The 22,722-nt window shown below is 35.4% G+C and overlaps 1 protein-coding gene across 29 annotated transcripts in view, besides 1 other annotated feature; it reads right to left on the reverse strand.

The window, feature by feature from the left end:
* CADPS2 (calcium dependent secretion activator 2) overlaps window positions 1-22,722 on the reverse strand; it is a 568,050-nt gene that overhangs the window by 127,479 nt on the left and 417,849 nt on the right. For all 29 annotated transcript variants that reach the window (NM_001363398.2, NM_001009571.4, XM_047421032.1 and 26 more), the window contains one exon: window positions 5,485-5,586. In NM_001363398.2, coding sequence (NP_001350327.1) covers window positions 5,485-5,586 — 102 coding nt within the window. The remainder of the gene's footprint in view (window positions 1-5,484; window positions 5,587-22,722) is intronic.
* Window positions 2,930-3,687: an enhancer, noted in NCBI's record as "NANOG hESC enhancer chr7:122088873-122089630 (GRCh37/hg19 assembly coordinates)". NCBI's record gives its function as "activates a minimal SCP1, AML or CMV promoter by ChIP-STARR-seq in primed H9 embryonic stem cells {active_cell/tissue: H9 hESC(primed)}" and the evidence as "EXISTENCE:reporter gene assay evidence [ECO:0000049][PMID:30033119]".

The following is a 22,722-nucleotide window of genomic DNA, read 5'->3' on the forward strand; positions in this document are numbered from 1 at the left end:
TACTCAGATAATCATGTTACTTGCAAATAAAGATAGTTTTGCTTCTTCCTTTCCAATTTGGATGACTTCAAAAAATTTGTTTTTTTCAGAATCAATGCACTACCTAGACCATTTGTGACAATTTTGAACATAAGAAGTGAGAGCAGACATCCTTGCCTTTTTATTTTAGGTAGAAAACATTCAGTCTTTTACCATTAAGTATGTTAGCCGTAGGTCTACCATCCATGCCCTTAACTGGTTGTATATAACATATGGTAACAATAGTCCTTCTAATACATTTGGTTTACTAATTCTATATTTTGTGTCTTCTCAGTTTTGCTTGGTTGGCTTTTTAATCCTCTTCATTGATCATATTTTACTATTTTTCTATATACTTAAAATTTTTTCACCAGATGCTGGAGATAGTTTTGTCTTGTTGATGTCTAGATATTTTTGTATTCCTTTAAATATGCTTGATCTCTGTATTCAGGAATGCTCTTAAATTACCTGGAAACAGTTTGGCCTATTTGAATCTTGATTTTAATCCCCATTAGGTGAATCAGAGTTGTGTTAATTTTTTTCCCATGGCTGAAGCAAAACCTAATGAGTACTCTATAGATTATAGTACTCTACTGATACCCATGAGTTGGTTTTCCACTCTGGGTAATGAAAACTAGAACTACCCCTGGTCCTGTGTGTTAGCATTAGAGATTCCCCCCATAAGCCTTTCCTGTGGTTCTTTGCCAGACTTTGGATAGTTTCCTCACATATATGAAATGATCAATACTTAACAGGAGACTCCAGGGAATCATTTGCAAATAGCTGTAGCTCTCTCCTCTCCTTTAGACCTCTGACCTGAAATCTCTGGCTACCTTGGCCTCCCTGGAATTCCAGCTCTGCCTCTTCAAGTCAGAGAGTCCACTAGGCTCTACCTAGGTTCCTCCTTTCTGGATCATGGCCTGGAAATGCTCTTCTGGCAGTAAGCAGGTGCAACTAAAGGGCTTACTTCATTTCTTTTCCATTTCTCAGGAATCACTTTCATTGCTTTATGTTTAATGTCTTGAAAATATTTTTTCCCATTTTTGGGGCCTTTTTAAATTGTTTTGGGTGGGAGGCTAAATATAATCCCCTGCTGCTCCATCTTGGACATAAGTAGCTCCCTCTTTTTTTTTTTTTTTTTTTTTTTTTTGACCACATTCCCCCACTATAAACAAAATTCCTGTCCCTTCCTTACTTCTAATATAGTAACATCATTTTGCAGGGGTTAGATCTAAATTCAGTATCTACATTACATTAGTTATGAGAATGTTCTAGACAACTGAGACACAGTATTTTCTATGATTACTTTCCATGCCTTGCTCAATAGTTTGTTCATAATTCATACTTATATTTGTTTTTGATGTCCTCTCTTTATACACTTAATCTAATACAATTCCAAATTCTAGTAAAAGTAGTACAATCTAATTAATACAACTCCAAGCTCTATTCCAAGTGGGCAAATATCTCAACATGTCAAAATATGTTTTATCAATTTAATCTACGTTGAAGCATTTTCTGACATGCTCCAGTCAGAACTGATTGCTCTCTAAAATCAACTGTCACTTTGAGGGTCTCAATTAACCATCACTCTAGGGACACCTTTCTCTCTCCCATGTTGATTTCTTGTTTCGGGGAATTTTTTTTTTTTTTTTTTTTTTTTTTTTGAGACACAGTGTCACTCCATCACCTAGGCTGGAGTGCAGTCAGGCGATCTCGGCTCACTGCAGCCTCTGCCTCCTAGGTTCAAGCAATTTTCATGACTCAGCCTCCCAAGTAACCGGGACTACAGGAGCTCACCACCATGACCAGCTAATTTTGTATTTTTCGTAGAAACAGGGTTTTACCATGTTGGCCAGGCTGGTCTCAAACTCCTAACCTCAAGTATGTCACCCACCTCAGTCTCCCAAAATGTTGGGATTACAAGTGTGAGCCACTGCACCCAGCCAGTTTCAGGGATCTTAGATCCTCTTTGTTTCCCCCTGGTTTTGGTAAATTCTACAGTTCACCAAAGGGAATATAAAAGGAACATTTTTTTTAGTGCATGTCTAAAAATATCATTATTCTACCATCACTGTTAATAGAAACTATTGCTGGTATAGAATTCTAGGTTGGAAATGATAGTTTCTCAGAATTATGAAGTTACTGTTTTCCAGATATCAGTATTGCTCCTCACATCAAAATGAAAGTTGAAGAAAAGGATCTTTTAAAGTTTTGTTCACTGTCTGACACAAAGTAGGAGCTCAATAAATATTTGTAGAATAAATCAATGTTGAGAAGTCATTCTAACTCATTGTATAAAATCTGGTTTCTCTTTCTGGAAGATCTTAGGATTTTTTAATCCTTAAGTTTCTGAAAATTCATGAAATGTACTTATAAAACCATCAGCTCTCATGAGACTCGCTCATCATCATGAGAACAGCATGGGGGAAACCTCCCCTACCATCCAATTACCTCCACCCGGTCCCACCCTTGACAAACGGGGATTATTACAATTCAAGGTAAGATTTGGGTGGGGACACAGAACCAAATCATATCAGGATTGTATAGTACATATTTAGAGAAATTATCCAAAGATGATGTGCGTATAAGAGAAATAGAGAAACAAAACTTTAAGAGAGGACAGGAAACTAAAACGATACTAATACAAAATGAATACAATAAATGACGTGGACATCCCTGTCCACTACTATGTAGTTGTAGTTTTTGGGTGGTAGTGTGGGGAATTGAAGTCCCTTGGTGAGTGGCTCTGATTAGTCTAACTCAATATAGCAATCCCATGTCCATGTCAGTGACTGATTGAGGCATCCCGTGCACAGAATTTCTCTGGCCACTGGTTTTGGTTCAAAACCAGGCTCATGAGATATAAAAAATACTTTGCTAGGATCTTCTAAGGAAACTTTTTATGATCTTAAGAGAAGACTATAGAAAAATATAGCTTCTACGACTTCCTTTGAACACTGGCATGTATGAATGTGAGGCCAAGAAATTCTGTAGGCTTAACGGCTAAGGTGTGAGATAAAGAAAAAAAAAATAAAAAAATTATGTTATCTTACTACTAGTCTGGGGATGAAGCTATCCCATGAAAGAGAATAGCAATGTGAGAATCACAAAGAAAGAGAGCTGTGGCTACTGAATAAAGCTTGTCTTAAAGCTTGCCTGCTCGAGACCTGCAGGCAAGTGAGCATGCAAATTTATTTATTGTTTAAAACAGTTGGAGGCAGGATTTCTATTGCTTGCAGTTGAAATCATTGATATAATAATGGGGACTTATTCAGTTACTAATATAGATATCTAAAATGATGGCTGGGTCTCAACGGTAGCAAAAAAGAGGGAAATTACACTGATTTTCATTGAAAGATACATAAAATACATTTAAAGGATTCTATACAACCTAGGAGACAACACTTTTTTTTGTTTGTTTTTGTTTTTTTGAGACAGAGTGTTGTCATCCAAGCTGGAGTGCAGTGGTGTAATCAGAGCTCACTGTAGCATTGACTTCCCAGGCTCAAGTGATCCTCCCACATCAGCCTCTGGAGTAGCTGGGACCACAGGCACACACCACCACACCCAGATAATTTTTTAGTTTTTCTTTTTTGTAGAGATGGGGTCTCGCTACGTTGCCTAGGCTGGTCTTGAACTCCTGGGCTCAAGCAACCTTCCCTCCTAAAGTGCTGGGATTATAGGTTTGAGCTACCACACCTGGTTAAGGCAATGCTTTCAACAACAGCAAATGCAGAAACACATCTCTAAAACTGCAAAATAATTTTTTATGTCTTCATTTTGTTTGTAAACTCAAAATCATTTCAGGCAGAGAATTCAATCTTAACTCTGTAAGTTGAATTCAGCTATGCTATCTACAACAGTGTTTCCTAATGTAAATTTACTGGCCTTTTTGGGCAGAATATTTCTCCACTGTGGGATTGTCTCATGTACTGCACTTTTAAACCCAGCACTAAATGACTCCCTACCCCTGGTTATCATGACAATGAAAATCATACCTTATTCACTTACTCTAAGGTACTGCTACTAGCCCCAGTTGAAAAATCACTAATGTAGGGGAATAGATTTATAGTATATACTATGAGATTTTCTCCTTTCAATATCATTTAAAAAAATCACAGAGTCTAAGACCTTTATATTATCAGGAAACATAACAAAAAAGAATAATAATGAGGCAATAACAGATCAGGAAGAATAAGAAGATAAAGAAACGGAGTCTCAGCATGGTCATACAGCATTCATATGGTTAAATAAAATATTTTTGTGAACATATTCACTAAGTTTATTTTTTAAATAAGTGCAAATTAAGAGCATATTCACTACGTTTATTTTTTAAATAAGTGCAAAATAAGAGCATATTCACTAAGTTTATTTTTTAAATAAGTTCCAAATCACATGCATGCAACATAGCAGACAGGTTATAAGACACAATACATTATGTGGTGACATTTTATAGGCCTAATAATAAGGGAGAAAAAGAAAATATGTTAGCATATTTCTGTTTTTAATTATTAAGTTCTGTTGAACTAACTATAACCAGGAGAAAAGAAATATTATCAAGGTATTTATCTTTTACTCTGTAAATGTTTGAAATGTTTCTTAGTATTGGTGGCCTTTTTTTTTTTTTTTTTTTTTTTTTTGAGACAAGGTCTCATGCTGTCGTCCAGGCTGGAGTGCAGTGGTGTGATCATAGCTCACTGCAGCCTCGACCTCCCCAGAATCAGGTGATCCTCCCACCTCTGCCTCCTGAGCAGCTGAGACTACAGACATGCACCACCATGTCTGGCTGGTTAAGTTTTGTATTTTTTATAGAGATGGGGTTTCACCATTTTGCCCTGTCTGGTCTTGAACTCCTGGTCTCAAGTGATCAAACCCACATGGCCTCCCAAAGTGTTGGGATTACAGGCATGAGACTCTGTGACTGGCTGATAGCTAATTTTTTGAGCAAGGAATGGTGCTAGGTGCTGTGACCTGTGTTCTCAGAGAATGTAAGTAAAAAGATAACTAATGACTTTAAAGCCATGTGGGTTACAAGTGACAAGACAATACTACAGACAATAAATGCTCAAAGACTTCAGAATACTCTCTGCTGGAATAACTGAGAAAGGCCCCACTGTGGAGGTGAGACTTGAGGGCTCCTTACCTGGTAATACAGAGAGCAGGAGGAACAGTCACCAGAGCTAGGGGGAAGAGACTATGCAAGAATGAGAAATGCAAAAGGCAAGTAAGAGGTGCAGTGGAACGGATATTGTAGGGGGAATGGCTAGCCTAAATGAATACAGGAGACTGAATGATACGCTGAGAAGCAGACCACAGACTGAAGAATGTGAACCTTACCCTGCAGGCAAGGGAGGGCTACTGATGATCTTGAGCGCTAGTAGAATGATATAATAAACAATTTTTGGGGGAAGTAAGGGTTGAGTAAAGTATGAAAAGAAATATTTATATTAATAAAAAAATATATACCTGAAATGGCTTATCTGATTTTCTAAAAGGGAAGAGAGTCTCTCTTTTATCTCCTCAAATCTTTCTTTTTCTTCCACTGAAACAGTCCCAATTCCATCAGGCCTGAAAAAAAAATCAGAATCAATAATTCATATTGATCGAACATTTACTTTTATATATTTTATACATATGTATATTTAAAAATCCAAGGAAAAGTTCACTGTATACATATTAATTGTGTTTACAGTGGAAATTTACTGGAAATATTTGCAGCCATTTGCTTTATATTTTGACCCAGAATGAATGGAATGGAATTATTCTCTTTTAGACAGCCTTCAAGGTAAAAGATTATAATAAATATTTTCCAGATCTACCGAAAACAATGACTAGTCCTTGAAAATGGCAGTGAAAAGTGTTTTATAGTAGTACCAAACATTTGACCAACTAAGTGAAATCCCCTGAATGAAAATATTATTAAAAAATAATGAACGTAAGGTAAAATGTCTTAACTGGTTCTCTTCCAAATAATAATTCAGCTAACACAGAACTGGAGATTTAATTGTCATAAGAAACATAGAAATTTTTGATACATGTAGAAGTTCACTGACCTCTTTTTGTTTGCTTAAATACAGGGCATATGAATAAATATTAGAATTAAAATATACAGGGAAGAGAGCAAGCTATGTTTCTTTTCAAGATTTTTGTGTTTAAATATTCCTGTGAAATCAATGTGAGTTTCATCAGAATTTTACAAAGTAGCTATGAAGACTGAAAATAAATCTTATTTTACTAAGATTAGGATTAAAAATGTAAAATATATCAAATAACAGAAATTTAGAATTTATTCTGTATCAATTTAGGTATCCGGTTGTACGGCAATCATCTAAAATTTTGAACATATAAATCTTAACTGTCTTGTTAGTGCAGAGGGAAAAAAAGTATGAATCTCATATTCACTTCAAAACCTGTTTATATATTTTAATAACAAAATAAACCTTTTGCACTTGATAATTAACAAGAATCATTTCCTACCTAATTAGTTTATTTGTTCATTTAGTTTCTGAGACAGTTTTGCTCTTGTTGCCCAGGCTGCAGTGCAATGGCACGATCTTGGCTCAGTGCAACCTCCGCCTCCTGGATTCAAGCAATTCTCCTGCCTCAGCCTCCTGAGCAGCTGGGATTACAGGCACCTGTCACTATGCTTGGCTAATTTTTGTATTTTTAGTAGAGATGGGGTTTCACCATGTTGTTCAGGCTGGTCTGGAACTCCTGACCTCAAGTGATCTGCCCGCCTTGGCCTCCCAAAGAGCTGGGATTACAGGGGTGAGCCACCGTGCCCAGCTTAGCTTATTTCTCTAAAGATTATATTTTAATTCCCAAAGACTTGTGCATTTATCATTCCAATGTACTAATTTTAATGGTTATATATAAAATAGGTAGAAACAGGAATTATTGAAAACAAAGAAAAATAAATGCTTAAAATAACTTTCCTAACAAGATTTTTATTTGTTCCTCTCTATATACATATAATCATATGTATGTGTGTGTGTATATATGTTTGATGCTTGTTAACTAGTCAATTAGGATGAAAGCAATTAATTTTAAACTTATACCTGAATTATACTGACATAATGACCTTTCAGTCAAATCAAAGTATCATTTAAGTATGAGATTTTTTTTCCAATATAGAGTACATAATTTTTACTTCAGAGACTCATGTGCTGCTGGAATTTATGCTTTGAAAACATTTCTTACAATTTTTTATTCCTAAATAGGGAAACATTACTTAATTTCATATGCAAAATAATATATCGACCACATTTATTCCATCTGAATGCATTTTGAATGTTAACTATGGAAAAATTAATGGCCAAATATTAGTCTCTCAAGTATTTTTAGGAAGGAGGAAAAGTCTAACGCATAAATTACAAAGCAGTGCACCATGAGCTAATACTAATATTTTATATTTATTTAATAATGGATTTTTCACATATTACTTTAGAATCAATTCCCATTGAGCGAATGTTAATACAAAACACAAACTGAAACCTATGAATAATTATGCATTGACAATGATCACAAAAGCTCAACTGGGAAGTTCTATATAAATCATTAATTTGGAATTTGGGTATTCAGACAAAAACTATACCTAAATTACATTATCATGTAGACAACAATGAAAACTCATACCATAAAGTTATGGGTGATTATTTCACTGAATATCCCTAGGCAAATTGATAAAAAGAGCAAATAACTTATCTTCATCATTCTGCTGATTTGACATAATCTTTTGGCTTAGCTACCTGGCAGATGCTATGTGGTTAAATAGGAGTAAACTTTTCTATTTTGTTCAACTGTCAAATGAGATTGTCATCCACAGTGATACTGTAAGTTGTCCTATCATATTAGATTTCACTGAGGCCCACTGTCTGCTTGACAGAATGGAGCCAGGGGGTCAGGTGATGACAAGTGAGAAAGGTAAGTCAGGGGAAGCTCGCTTGTGTCAACCTTCGCTAAGAAAAGAATGTTATACAGAGTGAAGGACCACCATTTTACTGAGTTTATCACTAAATTAGGTACAAATCTGACAGTTAAATACCACGTTTAGCAATTTGGACTTGCCTTTACACATCCTTATTTTAGAATATATACAAGATTAACTACTGAATATTAGGCATAAGAAGCAGCCTTCTATATCTAAATTATTGGTAATAAATGGTAACTTTGCAGTAGTCAACTCTAAAGGCAACAGTTCCTCCTACAATAATTCTTCCCGATAAGTGCAAATACTTTCCGTGTCATCAACATCTTGTCACTGTAATTATTAAAACAAACATAATGATGAGCACTTATAGAATTTTAAATACGTGTCTGGTATTTTGTACTGGCTATCTTATATGCAGAATAACATATAAAGCTCACAACAATCCTGTCTCCTTTCCAAAAGAGAAGGCTGCTGAGGCTCAGGGCAGTTAGGTTAATTCCCAAGGTCACACCGCTGGGAAATGCAGGAGCCTGGACTTGAACCTAGGTCTCTTGCCCTCCAAAGACGATGCTCTTACCCTTACTCTCTTCCTGCTATATTTTGATAGAAAATAATAACGAGCAATAGAAACCCAATGAAACCATGAAAGTTATATTTGAAAAGCAATAATGGAGTATTTTGAATACCCTTACATTAGACATTTTCTATCTGACTTGTCTAAGGTGGAGACGTTAAAAACCAATGACATTTAAAATATAATGCTTACCATTGAATCAGCAAGTCAGTTAAAGAAGACCGTAAGAAAGGAAGTCCTAAACCTTGCTCTTTCATACATTCTAAAGTATGTTTTTACAAAAGCCTTGAGAGAAATTTAAACCAGTTATATTTTATGAATGTTTGTTTAATAGACTCAGAGTATTCGAGATTTAAAAATTATCATTTATATAAGCTCAGTTTATAAATTCATTCCTGCCAGCTCTACCTTCAAAACACACCCAGAATGTGACCTTCCCTCACCATATCCACCACTGATCCACTGATCCCAGCCACTATCTGCTTATCCCTGAGTACGCAGGCAGCCTCTTGGTCTTTCTCCTCCAGCGCTTTCTTTGTCAGAGAACTGGCCACACACTACTCCGAGCCTCTTCAACCATCAGTCATTATGACAGTATTCCTTGACTCAATTCCTGTAATGGTGGCACACAAGGTAAAAGCCAAAGCCTTTATAATGATGTATGAGCCCCGCTTCCCACAATCTGACCTTATCTACCCCCTCACTTGCCCTGCTCCCCTCCACTCAAGCCATGCTGGCCTCCTAACTAGTCCTCAAACACAGGAAGCAAGCTCCAGGCTCAAGGCCTTTGCAAGTGCTGCTGCTTCTGCCTGAGAGTGCTTTCTCTACATGTACACAAAATCATATATGCACACATGCACACCTGGCTTGCTTGCTCACTTTCTTCTGGTCTCTACTTACATGACTCAGCATTAGTGAGGTTATCTCCAACCATCCTACATGAAAGTGTATTTCCCATTCCCATAGACCTTTCTATTTTTTAATAATAATATTTATTAAATAATAATATTTAATAAAAATGTTTTATTGATGGCCACTGTACATATGGCTGCCATCTAACATGATATATTTACCTATTTGGTTACTGTTTGCTTCCTTTGTAATGTATCTCTAGTGCTAGAACACCAGATGGCATATTGTTGATATTTAATGCATATATGCTGAGGAAATGAATGAGTAATATATGCAATATAAAAATATTACTTAAGATGATAAGAATTCATGAATTAGTAATATGACAAATTATTATTACTGCTTATTAGAATTAACAGGGTATAAATTATTTGGAACATTTTTATTTATTTTTTATTTTTCAGATGGAGTCTCCCTCTGTCACCCAGGCTGGAGTGCAGTGGCACAATTTCAGCTCACTGCAAACTCCACCTCCTGGGTTCAAGCGATTCTCCTGCCTCAGCCTCCCAAGTGGCTGGGATTACAGGTGTGCACCACCACACCTGGCTAATTTTGTATTTTTAGTAGAGATGAGGTTTCAAGTTGGCCAGGCTGGTCTCGAACTCCTGGCCTCAGGTGATCCACCCTCCTCAGCCTCCCAAAGTGCTGGGATTACAGGAAAGAGCCACCATGCCCAGCTTGGAACATTTTTATTATATGATAGTTGGTAAAACAGAAAATTTTGTGAAAAGCAAACAGAAGCAGGAACTGTAGTTAAGTACACTGGTAAAAAGATCTCTAAAGTTAGTATGTATTCACACTTAGCAGAAAATCTTTAGTGTTTAATTTTATTTTAATTAATAATAAAATAATTTACTTTAAATCTTAAGAATAGAATTTTTCTCCTTAGATATAAATAAACATAATAATCCTGCTTTGACATTGATAAAGATTCTGTTAAAATGTGGTTATTTAAAATTCGAACATAAAAGACAAATTTTCTCATTTGAATGTTAAGTGGGACTTAACTCTATGACGATAATTAAATATTAAAGTGGTTCTGATGAGAAGAAAGGGTAGTCTTATGTATCAATATTTAATATTCTCATTTTTTTCTGGGGCCTGTAGTTATTGAAGTTACATGATTTCAATAAAAATAGGGTGCTCTGTGAAAAAGGCTTAATATATGAAAAAATTATAAAACAGATTAAAATAGATACACTTCTTTTAATTACAGATAAAGTCAAAAAAGTTATGACATAAAACTTCTATCTGGTCTTAAACAATAAGCAAGTGAACACCAAGTGCAGTTGTGTGTTAATTTATTTCAAAGGTTCTTAAAAAACAGAATTTGTACAACAGAACCTTCTGCCACTGAGGCCTGATCTTAACGTCTGCCTGTGGGTCACACTCTGTTTTCAGAGAAGCCATCACACACATGTACATCCCCCTGCAAGCTGCATACACACGTGTGCACACAAACACAGACAACACTTTTTGAAAGGCAGATTCATCCAAAAAATAGTTGATAAGGCCTCTATATACATATTTTCTTAAATTTCTCCATGAGCTAAGCAATCTTGTAATTTGTGCTATTCATCAATCTGGCAGATTACTGCATTCTAAAACAAACGCAAAAACTCTTTTATATACATTGAACATCCCGTCATGATTATCAATTCCTCCTGTAACAAGTGTGACGTGAGCTCTAAATTGAAAAAGGTATTTTTAAACTAAAAGTCAGGAATGAGAGGAGTAAACAGCATTACTCATCCTAATCCATTTTCTATTATTTCGGATGATTTCTGTGGTAAAACAAACTAAAAATTTAGTTTCTATAAAGGTAAAGAACAACTACACTATAGGGTAAGAAATATCTAAGAGAAAAAGGGTACAAAACTGGGCTGTAGAATCAGGCATTTGAGCAGAAGAGAAAATATCAATGAGGAAGACTGCTTAAATATTCAGATCTGTGCAAACCTAGTGCTTTACTTCCCTTGTTTGAACAGTTTGTGTTCACACATTTTATAGATCCCTTTTCCAGTATAATAAAAAATTTCAGGGGTTTGTAACACCAATAAAAACTAATTTTGACATGTTTAATATCCATTCCTTTGGAGTACATTTGAGTAAAGATGAATTAATGGCTGTCAACATTTTCCAAAACACATTGTAAGGAACAATGACCCTCAGGGATGCCCAAATATTTTGTAAACAATGCAAATTACGCAACCCTTTTGGAGGTTCACAGAACAATCACAGCATATGAAGGGGTCTGAGAAGCCTGATAGTAAAGAAATCTGTTTAACTTTGTATAAATAGCACTTCCAGAATTATTTAGTCACATCTGCCCACATTCCTCCTGAAAATTCATTATTTAGTGCTGACGAGCATCCGTTCTATTACTTAATGAAAACTATACCATCTTCTAGAGTTATTTTTTCAATCACTTTTATCACCTGCACAGCTTTTAGATATGTGAGGGATAAATGTGTTTATAATCCCTAGGCTTTATAATCTCTAGGACTCTGCACATTGCCTGGTTTACAGTACTTAGCAAGCTTGTGGATTGAATAAAGACACCAGGGTTAACACTGTATAGTGAAGTGTGGTTAAATTAATAAGACATTAAATTAAATTAAATGCTCCCCCACCCCATCTCCAACTCATCAGGTAAGTTTGTCCTGGAAATCTGGTGGTTTGTTGTAAAAGATTATTTCACAAGCAATGCATGAGCAAATGACAAAGTTCATGGTGCTTTTGAGTTACTTATAGGCTTCTTTTCACCTGCTTCTGCTACGAGGAATGAGGAATGCATGACATCTTAGCTTCCTCTAGGGAAAGTGAGAAGGGGAGAGACACCTAGAGGGTGGTATTTCTGAATTGTCAATTCTGCCTGCAGCACAGCAGGTAAAAGTCACTTTGCACTTCGTGTATTTCCCACCAATATCCATTTGTGAACAGAATGGAAAGGAGAGGATGTCACAGCACGAGAATAAGAAATGATAAAAGATGATGAGGAAGAAAACAATAATCCCTTCTTTTTTATTTCCTAACCTATAATACCTCCTATTGTTTGAATCAAATGATGTATTACTTGGATGGTCATATATTACACACTCAGTGTCCTTTTACTTCCCCTCTAATTTTAAATATCCAGAAGAAATTAATTGTGTCTTTATATGATCATTGAGATATAAAAAACAGATTTTCTATGAAAAAATATTTTAAAAGATGAAATTCTGAAATATGTTCTTATCTTTTTGCAAACACTCCCCCCTTCCTTGTCTGGATTTTGCACTGCATTCTAATTTCCTTGGATGTTTATTTTAAAAAGGGTAGATACCACTATGGTGAAAGCAATCATCTGACTCTATAAAGATCTAAGATCATATTACTTCGTTTTTGTGTTAGGGTGCTGGTGAATAGGCCAAGGACCAAAACATAATTGATAACTGGCCTCTCCTGGGACCAAACAAACAAATAAGAAAACTTTCTTGGACTAATCCAAACTGAAATCACTGCTGTATATAATTCCAGAATTCAAGAGAAAGAAATACCAAGAGCAATTTAAAATAAAAGTAAAGAGAATTAAGGTTGGTATAGAGGTTCTCTGATATAAATATCACCCTCTGCCCTATAACTAATATTTTTAAAAAACAACATATATTGTAACTAAAGGACTTCATATATATCATACTATGAGAAGAGAAATTTGAAAAATAAAGACCAAAATGAAAATTTCCTATAAATATGCCAACCAGAAATAACTGAAATACTAGTTTGTAAATATAATTATAATTTATTTCTCTAACTCTATAGATGTATTATACATTCTGATTCATAATTTGATTGTTTTAACGAACTGTAAGCTTTTAAAATATAATTTAAATATTCTAATTTATAATGAAATAATTATATTTCAATATATGGATGTGCCATAATTAATCCAATTATCCATTATTTAGAAATGTAGGCATTTTTCCTCCATTTTTTGCTATCATAGATAGTGCTTCAATAATTAATCTTATACTATATATGTTTAACCCATATCCAAATGTTTTCTTAAGAAAAATTCCCAAAGGTATATTGCTAGGTTAAATGCACGATATTTTCAAGTATTCGATACATATTGCAAAGTTGGTTTTTTAGAAAGCACTTATCAGCTTACACTCTGGCCTGCAGTGCATGAAATTATTAATTTTCCTGCAACCTCACCAACTGTAGTCTTTATCCTTTGTTATAATCATTTTCAATTTTATATACTAAAAAGGGGATCTATTTTAATATATTAATTTCTATGATGGAAAATGATGCTATCTTGCTGATTATGTAGGGCCTTTATCATGTGCCATAAAAATAATTGCAGTTGATTAATTTAAAAACATTTAATTTTAAACTTACTTAAGAAGGTCCATAATATATCACCTATAAAATTTGTAAACAGATGGCCCAATGTCATTCAATTATTTACTCAATCAATATTTATGGACCACTTGGTCAGGTCATGGGACACAATGTAAGCACAACAGAAATGGTTTCTGCCCCAATAGAGTTTATAGTGGGAAAATGCATACAAAATAAAAATTAGACAATAAGTATACAATTACATTTAAGAAGGGCAAAAGTATAAACATCTGATCTAGTTTGGAGTGTCAGAGAAGGATTCAGTTTGGAAATGATATTTAACCTGAAATGTGATGAATGAGCAGCAGTCATTTAGGTGAAACCTGAAGCAGAAGGCAGTTTGAGGAGAGGCCCAGGATGTTCGCCATAGAGATGTCCAAATAATTTTTTAAATGCAAATTTTTTCATGTGACTTCTGCTTGCAGTATGGTGGACTAACTTGATACTCCCCAAATCCTTATTCACTACAAAACACCTAAATACTGCATAAGCCACAACAATTATATATTAAATGTTGTCCAGCTCTTACTAGAAAGTAAAATAATTCTCCCAAGGGTGGGAGAACAAAACAAATGAACCTGATGAAAGCAAAGAAGGGGCAAATATGAACAACATGGCTGTCTTGGTGGTAAATATCAATACTGAGAAAGCTTTACAGCTGCATCCAAGGGAATGGATCACTGAGCCATAGACCTAATTTGGATGAGCTGCTAAGCCTGAGACACCTGCATAAAAATGGGACCCTAGAATGGGTTATAGTATCAGTGAAAGGATAGTGCACTCCCTAACATCAAGGAAAAACAAGAACAAGTCCTCTTTAGAGGGAAGCATTCAGAGCCCAGGACTTTTAAGAATTCCCACATATTAATCTTAAGTATAAATGTTTATTACAAAAAAATGCTAATTGCATTAAAAAATAATAAACAAGTGACCATGGCAAAAATGTCGGCAGAAACAATAGAAAATTCAGTTATTTGAAAGATAATATGAAATAATTATAAAAGATCTAAGGAAACAAAAAATGGAATCAAACCAAGAAAGGAAAAAGATATTCAGAAGTAATCAAGCAGAGCTCAAAAAGAATCAAACAGAATAACAGAATTTCCAGGACTAAATAATTTGTTAACTGAAATTAATAAATCAATAAGTGAGTGAAACAGTAGATGTCAGAGCTGAAGAGAGAACTGAAGAAATAGAGTAAGGGTTGGCAAACTACGGCCTTTCATCTGCTTTTGTCAATATAATTTTGTTGGGACAAGCCACACTAATTCATTTCTATATTGTCCATGACTGCTTCTGCACAGCAATGGCGGAGTTGTATAGTTGTAACAGAGACTACATGGTCAAAAATAGTTACAAGATTTTGTATAGTTACAAAGCCCAAAATAGTTGTCATGTTTACTGTAGAGCCCTTCACAATAGCAGCCAATTCCTCAACTGGAAGACAGAATTGAAAACATTACACAGGATGCAGCTGGAAAAATACGTAGATAGAATACATTTTAGAGACATTAAAAGATATAGAAGATAAAATGCCTAGTACATGGGTAATTGGAGCTTCAGATGAGAAGAAAAAGATTGTAGAAGAGACAATATTTAAAGAGATAATGCTATTCCAGAACTGATGACAAATATAAATCTTTATATTCCAATCAGGGTAAATAAAAAGAAATGCACACCTATACAATATCATGGCAGGTAGATTAGAAATTCATATATGTCCCAATCACAATAAATTAAAAGAAATCCATACAAAGAAACCTTACAGTGTACTTACAAAACACAAAAGAACAAAAGAATCTTTTTTTAAAAAAAGCATCCAGAGGAAAAAGAGGAATCATCCTCAAAAGACTAGCATTTGTACTGCCAAGAGCCTTTTTTGTTGTTGTTTTGTTTTGTTTTTTAAGATGGAGTCTCGCTCTGTCACCAGGCTGGAGTGTAGTGGCGCCATCTCGGCTCACTGCAACCTCTGCCTCTCAGGTTCCAGTGATTCTCCTGCCTCAGCCTCCCAAGTAGCTGGGACGACAGGTGCGTGGCACCATGCCTGGCTAATTTTTGCATTTTTCAGTAGAGAGGGGGTTTCAACATATTGGCCAGGCTGGTCTCAAATTGCTGACCTGGTGATCCACCCGCCTCGGCCTCCCAGAGTGCTGGGATTAAAGGTGTGAGCCACCTCGCCTGGCCTGCCAAGAGCCTTCTTAATGGCAACAAAGAAAATCAGAAGAAAATGAATGTCTTCAAAGTTCTAAGAGAAAATAACCATCAACCTAGCACTGTACACCTAGCAAAACTTTCTTTGAAAAAATAGGATGAAACAAAAGAAATTCCCAATAACAATTCACAGTGTATAAGAGTCCATTTATAGGAAAGTCCAAAGAACATTCTTCAGAAAAAAGGAAAATTGTTTCTAAATCTAAGCAAATACGAAGTACAAAATAAGAAAGATAATATTAATTTATAAGCTTAGGAAAAAAGGATATAACTAAAATACCACAGAATTTAAGTATGTAAGCCAGAAAGGGGGTGACTGGAGGGTAATATTCTAAGGACTCTGAACTACCTAGGAGGAGAAATTTGTTAATTAGCATAAGACTTTAAAATTTCAGCAACATGCCTGGTAAATCTCAAATGTAATTGTTGGAAAATATAAACTGTTAAGAGAAAAAAAAAGAATTAAAGAAAATAACTTCAATGAAACAAAAAGTATACCAATAAAAAGTTTATAGAACATGAGCCAAAAAAGAAAGCTTAAAATAAAATGGTAGAAATGGATTTACTTTTATTAACATGTGATTTACTTTTATTAATATGTGATTTACTTTTATCAATTACATGATAAATGTAAATGGACCAAACTAATTAAAGGACAGAAATAGTCATATTGAAAAATTAAATCAAAATCTAGTTTGCTATTTATAAAACACTAAAGTACAAGAATATAGAAAGGCTAACGATGTGAACATGCATCAGATAAACACTCATCAAAAGAAAGCTACATTAATAATCACCTACATATCATGCAAAAATCATTATTAGTTATGATGATCATCACCAAATGATGATAACAATGTTCATCTACCAGGAATATCTAACAATCTTAAGCTTGAACACAGAACAGCCTTGGGCCAGGCACAGTGGCTCATACCTGTCATCCCAGCAATTTGGGAGGCCAAGGAGGAAGATCACTTGAGCCCAGGAGTTTGAGACCAACCTGTGTGACATAATGAGATTTTGTCCCAACAAAAAGCAACTCCTCAAAAACCAGCTTCAAAATATACAAAGCAAAAATTTACAGAAATAGAGAGCAAAAACCACCATGACAGTGGTAAATCACCACTCACGTTGGTCATAACCCCACAGATCAAACAGGCAAGAATTAGTAAGACTTTAGAAGATCTTAACCACACAAATCCTGTTTGCACTGCCTAAAGAATACATATATTTTTTTTTAAGTGACAGAAAACATTTATAATATTTGACACATATTTGGCCACAAAGGAAATCTCAACAAGTGATAAAGAATTGGTATCACACAGATCACATTCTCTGAACACAAAGGAATTAGGTAAGAAATCAGTTCTCAAGAAAATAACCAAAAATCTTCATATTCTTAGATTTTTTTTTTTTTGAGGTGGAGTCTCGCTCTGTTGCCCAGGCTGGAGTGCAATGGCATGATCTCGGCTCACTGCAAGCTCCACCTCCCAGGTTCATGCCATTCTCCTGCCTCAACCTCCCAAGATATTTTAAAACGTACTTATAAATAACCTTGTGTCAATAAATTATGAAAAGTTAAAATTACTTAGAATCAATTTTAATTAAATAGTACATAAGACATTTCTATATGTAGTAAAAACAGAATTTAGTGGGGGAAGTTACAGCCCTAAACTCTTAGAAAAGAAGAAAAGCTGGCAAGTAGTGAGTTACACATCTAACATAAGAAGTTAGGAAAGATGACATAACCTCACTAAGGAGGGTGGGAGAAAAAGCTGCTTTCCTATTCATCTTTGGCAAACAGTATTTTGACTGGAAACTGAAAGGTTTTGTAGACAAGTACTATAGCCTAGTTGGTGAATTCCAAAACTGCTTTGCATGAAGTTCAGGGGTTGAACAATTTTGTAAATGGATGGTGGAAGTAAGATTTCTCACTGTTGAAAAGATAAGTTAAAGATAAGGAAGAAAAGCATGCTGAAATGAATGTTGATGTCCTAGATTCCAGTTGGAGACGTCAGTATGAACTCATGGTTTAGTACACATCATATATCACCTAGCTCTGTCCAACTGAGAGGGCCTGGAAGCTATGATTTTTCCAGCAGAAATAAACACACATGTCACCTAGATCTTGGTTTCTAAATACCATTCTCTAAAAAACAAACAAACAAACAACAACAATAACAAAACCAGAGCTCCTTGGAGAACTGATTAATTCTTAGGCTAGAGTAGGGAAAATAAAAGATGAGCTTGCAGCATGTCAGATTGCCAGAAACTAAGAAAGTGCTCAAAAACCAAATGAGTGGGGCATATCAAAGGGAGCCAGTATAAAAGAGCTTTCAATAGCTACAGCAGGAACAATCTGAGCAACAAAGTAATTTAGATATTATTAGATTGTAACCCAAGGTATAAAGCAACTGCACATGAATCTATACGGATATAAACAAATGGTTAAATAAATAAATTGGAAAGAAGAGACATATATTCCTTACAGAAGAATTCTGAATAACGTATGCAGATAGTTCTCCTTCTAGGAGTTGGGGTTTATTTCCTGTCTCCTCTTCAGTGTGTTTTATTGGACTTAGCTATTTTCTTCAAACTAGAGTATAAAAAAATAAAAATGACATCTTTACAGTAGAGAAATGTGACAAATACTACCAGGATGTCACGCGGATATTATGTACTCCCTGATAGAATGTGATGAGAAGGGTATTTCATCTCTTTACAAAAACTCATAATCTCAGGCTAATCATGAAAATGTCAGACAAACCCAAACTGAGAGACATTTGATAAAACACTTGACTAGTACTCCTCAAAACTGTCAAGGTCACAAAAAACAGACAAAAAAATCCCTAAGAAACTGCTACAATCATGACAATTAAGTGCAACTTGGTACCCTGAATTGAATCTTGGAGCAGAAAAAAGGACATTAATTTAAAAAACTGGTGAAATCTGAATAAGGACTGGTGTTCAGTTAATACTAGTGTGCCAACGTTGATTTCTTAGTTTTGACAAATGTATGACAATAACATTAAGGGAAACGGAAATACGAAAACTCTATGCACTCTTTTAGTAACTTTTCTGTAATCTAAAATTATCGTAAAATAAAAAGTATATCTAAAAAAGAAACAATAGAGTTCAACAAAGCCAAAAGTTGCTCCTTTGAAAAGACCAATAAACTTGATGGATTAAGAGAAAAAAAGAGAGAGAAGGTAAAAATGAACAATATTAGACTGAGGAAGGGAAGAATTGTAGATCGAGCAAAAAATACAAAGAAAACAACTTGAATAACTTAATATCAATACATTTAATAACTTAAATGAAATCTACCATTTCCCAGAAAATCATAACTTGCCCAAACTGACTCAAGAATAAATAGAAAGCCTGAGAATTTCTGTAGCTACAACATAAACTACAACAGTTAAAAATCTTTCCACAAATAAATTCCCAAGCCCAGATGGTTTAAAACAGGGGTCCCCAATACCCGGGCTGTGGACTGGTACCAATCCATGGCCTGTTTGGAACTGGGCCATACAGCAGGAGGTGAGCGGCAGGCAAGCGAGTACTGCCTGACTTCCACCTCCTGTCAGATCAGTGTCGGCATTAGGTTCTCACAGGAACCTGAACCCTATCGTGAACTGTGCATACAAGTTATGTGCTGCTTATGAGAATCTAAGTAATGCCTGATGATCTGAGGTGGAACAGTTTCATCCCAAAACCATCCCCATCCTACCGTTCCACCCCATCCATGAAAAATTTACCTTCTATGAAACCGGTCGCTGGTGCCAAAAAGGTTGAGGACCACTGGTTTAAAAGATGAGATACTGGTAAACTACAAAAAGCCATTCAAGTCTTATACAGAGCAAGTGGGAAAGCTCCCCAGTTCATTTTGTGTGGCTACAGTAACCTAGATACCCAATCCTGATAAAACCAGTATGAGAAAGTAAAATAACAAGCCAATTTTGTACGTCAACATAGATCTACAAATATCAAACTGGGACGGCAATGGTAGTGGTAAATAACACCTATGTACATATAGAGCTTTCTTTGATTGTTTCTACATACAACATTACATACTGTTTTTGAAAAACTTACTGTGTTAAAAATGATAAGAAGATCCAACTTAAGACCCAAAAACTTTGTCCTATACCTAACTATTGACGAGAAGAAGGCTCTAAAGGTATGAAGTTTAAGAAAAGCTATGTCAAGGTGTAACCCTTGTTTCTGTTCATGGTTAATGTGATATAGTCTAATATATACTAAAAAATTTCCTTTGCCTTGTCTCTTCCTCAGACCTTCAGCAGGCTGTTTTATTTAATATCTCACAAAGATCCAGGAGTTGCACAGTTTGAATGGAAGGTGTGGAAGGAAGACAGAGGAAATTAATTAGGTGGCCTTAGCAACTATTTCCCAAATTGCAGTCTGTCTACATACTTATCCTGGATGACGGGGTTCTAGGCTCCTGCTTTTCGCTGTCTTTGCCACTCCCCTCTGGGGCCACAGTGTTTTCCAGCAACATGGGGGTGGTAGGCGGGGAGGTCCCAGAACTTCAGCACAGCTTTTCCCCATGACCACGGATAGGAGATGAGGTGAGGCACTGACTCAGTGCTCTTCCAGTCTCATTCTCCTGATTGAAACCTGTTTGTGGTATGTTGTCATAACAAAATTCACCTGAGTACTGCAGTGTTTCACAGAACAATCCCCAAAAGCTCATTTAACTAATACACTGCATAAAAAAATTACTACATGCTATTTAAGCAATATTTCATCGTTTAAAAAGTACTTACAGAATTTTATTTGACCTATTTAGGAACCATATTGAGTAGGTAGCATTAATGTTATTACTCACAAGGTACACATGGAGAAGCTGAGGCTCAGACAGATTAAAACCATTTGCTCAAAGTTAAGTAGTTCATCAGTAGAGGAGCCAGAACAGGAATACAGATGCTCTGATTCCTCACTCAGAGATATTTCCAACACACCAAGTCTTTCCCTTCCCCTTTTCTTTTTCTCTGGTTTTGTCTGTTTTGTTTTGAAAGGCACAATTATCTTGCTTCAGTATTGAACTTGAGGTTGGGTGAGTATAAATATTGCTAGGAAAGTCTGCTTAAGGTAGATTTAGGGTTGTTCTACAGTTTTTGATAAAATAAAAAAACTCCTCCAGTAATATTTGAAATATACTCCCCAATACCCATCCCTTCTGCCTTTGCACATTTAGCACATGGCATAAAACCTGTCAGATCAGGTACATTACCTAAGGATAACCTTGCTTATGACCTTTCATCTGGTTGCTCACCTGCCCCAAAAGTGAGTCTCTCCATTTACAACGTGTGTGTCATTTATACTTAATTTCTATATAGTCACATATCTAAAACTAGAATTAAGTGAACACTTTTGATGATCCTACGTGATGCAATTATCTACGTTGTTTCTCAAAAAATGCACACTGTCTCTAAAATTACAGATTGGAAGTTTGAGGCATAATTTCTGAAGTGACAGTCAAGGGGAAATGTTAGCACCTGTGAAGACAGAGGTATTATGATATGATGATTTGACTGATGCCCATTAAGGTTACTTAACAACTTTGTGATATAATCTGGAATCCATAGAAAATTGAGATTATTTTATATATAAAACTACAGTCATGTTGTACTCTTGTGCCCTGTACTTGAAAGCAAGCACATCTGAGCTGGCGTTTGTCAGGCATGCAGCAGCTCTAAGACAGCCCTAGAAAACTGTAGAGGAGTCAGTGAATACACTGTATGCCTTACATTAAATTGGGACATAAAAGCCATTTTGTGTTGCTGCTTCAGTTTCTCCACCCTCAGCCTGACTTACAAAACCAAGACGTATAACCACACATATCAACCTAGAACTTTGCCCTATGAAGCATTGTCTCTGAAAGCCTCTTTTCTCCTTCCTGTCAGTCCTCAGCGGCACTATGGCTGAATGAGTGGTTGTGTTATTCAGAGATGTGTGTGGCTATCATCCTGCATGAGTGGGTCTGTTTCTGTCCTTGACTCACTTTTTCTTTCTTCCTTTCTTTTTCTCTCTCTTCCTCAGTCTTAGTACCAGCCAGACCTTTTCTGTTTAACTCTATTCTTTTATTTCTGAAACACTCAGAGTGCTATTCAGAGATGTATCTGTACAGAAAGAACACACCTAGAGAGCTCAACACTGTGCAATAGGATGTGCTCCCTGAAAAATTTCAAATCCAGACAGCACTGTTGTCCTTCACTTCAGTCAATAACAAAAGGAAATCTTTTCTCCTTTTGAATTTATGACAGAGGTAGTTCAGGTAATGAGCAAAACGACTCTTTGAATATGTGTCTTGACAGATGTAAAAATGATCATAAAATAAGACCACGGCAAACAATGTAGAAAAACCAGACTTGACATTGACAGTATGTTTAAACAAAAGTCTCTATAAATATCAGATGCTACAGACATGGATAAGAGAAGCACATTCTCACAAGGAGAGGTTGCCAAAACCTGAATATTCCATTAACAAAGAAATTAGGAATATAATTACATACACATTGAAATATTTCTATTTAGCATGAGGTACAGTCCTAACTACATACTTTTTACTTTTTTCTTCATCTCACAATTTACATCCTCTTGGGTTAAATGGCAAAGAAAAATATATTAGAATAGTAAGAGTAATCAATACTGATAGTATTTTATAATGATG

Source organism: Homo sapiens, chromosome 7 (genome assembly GCF_000001405.40).
Source record: "Homo sapiens chromosome 7, GRCh38.p14 Primary Assembly".
NCBI lineage: Eukaryota > Metazoa > Chordata > Mammalia > Primates > Hominidae > Homo > Homo sapiens.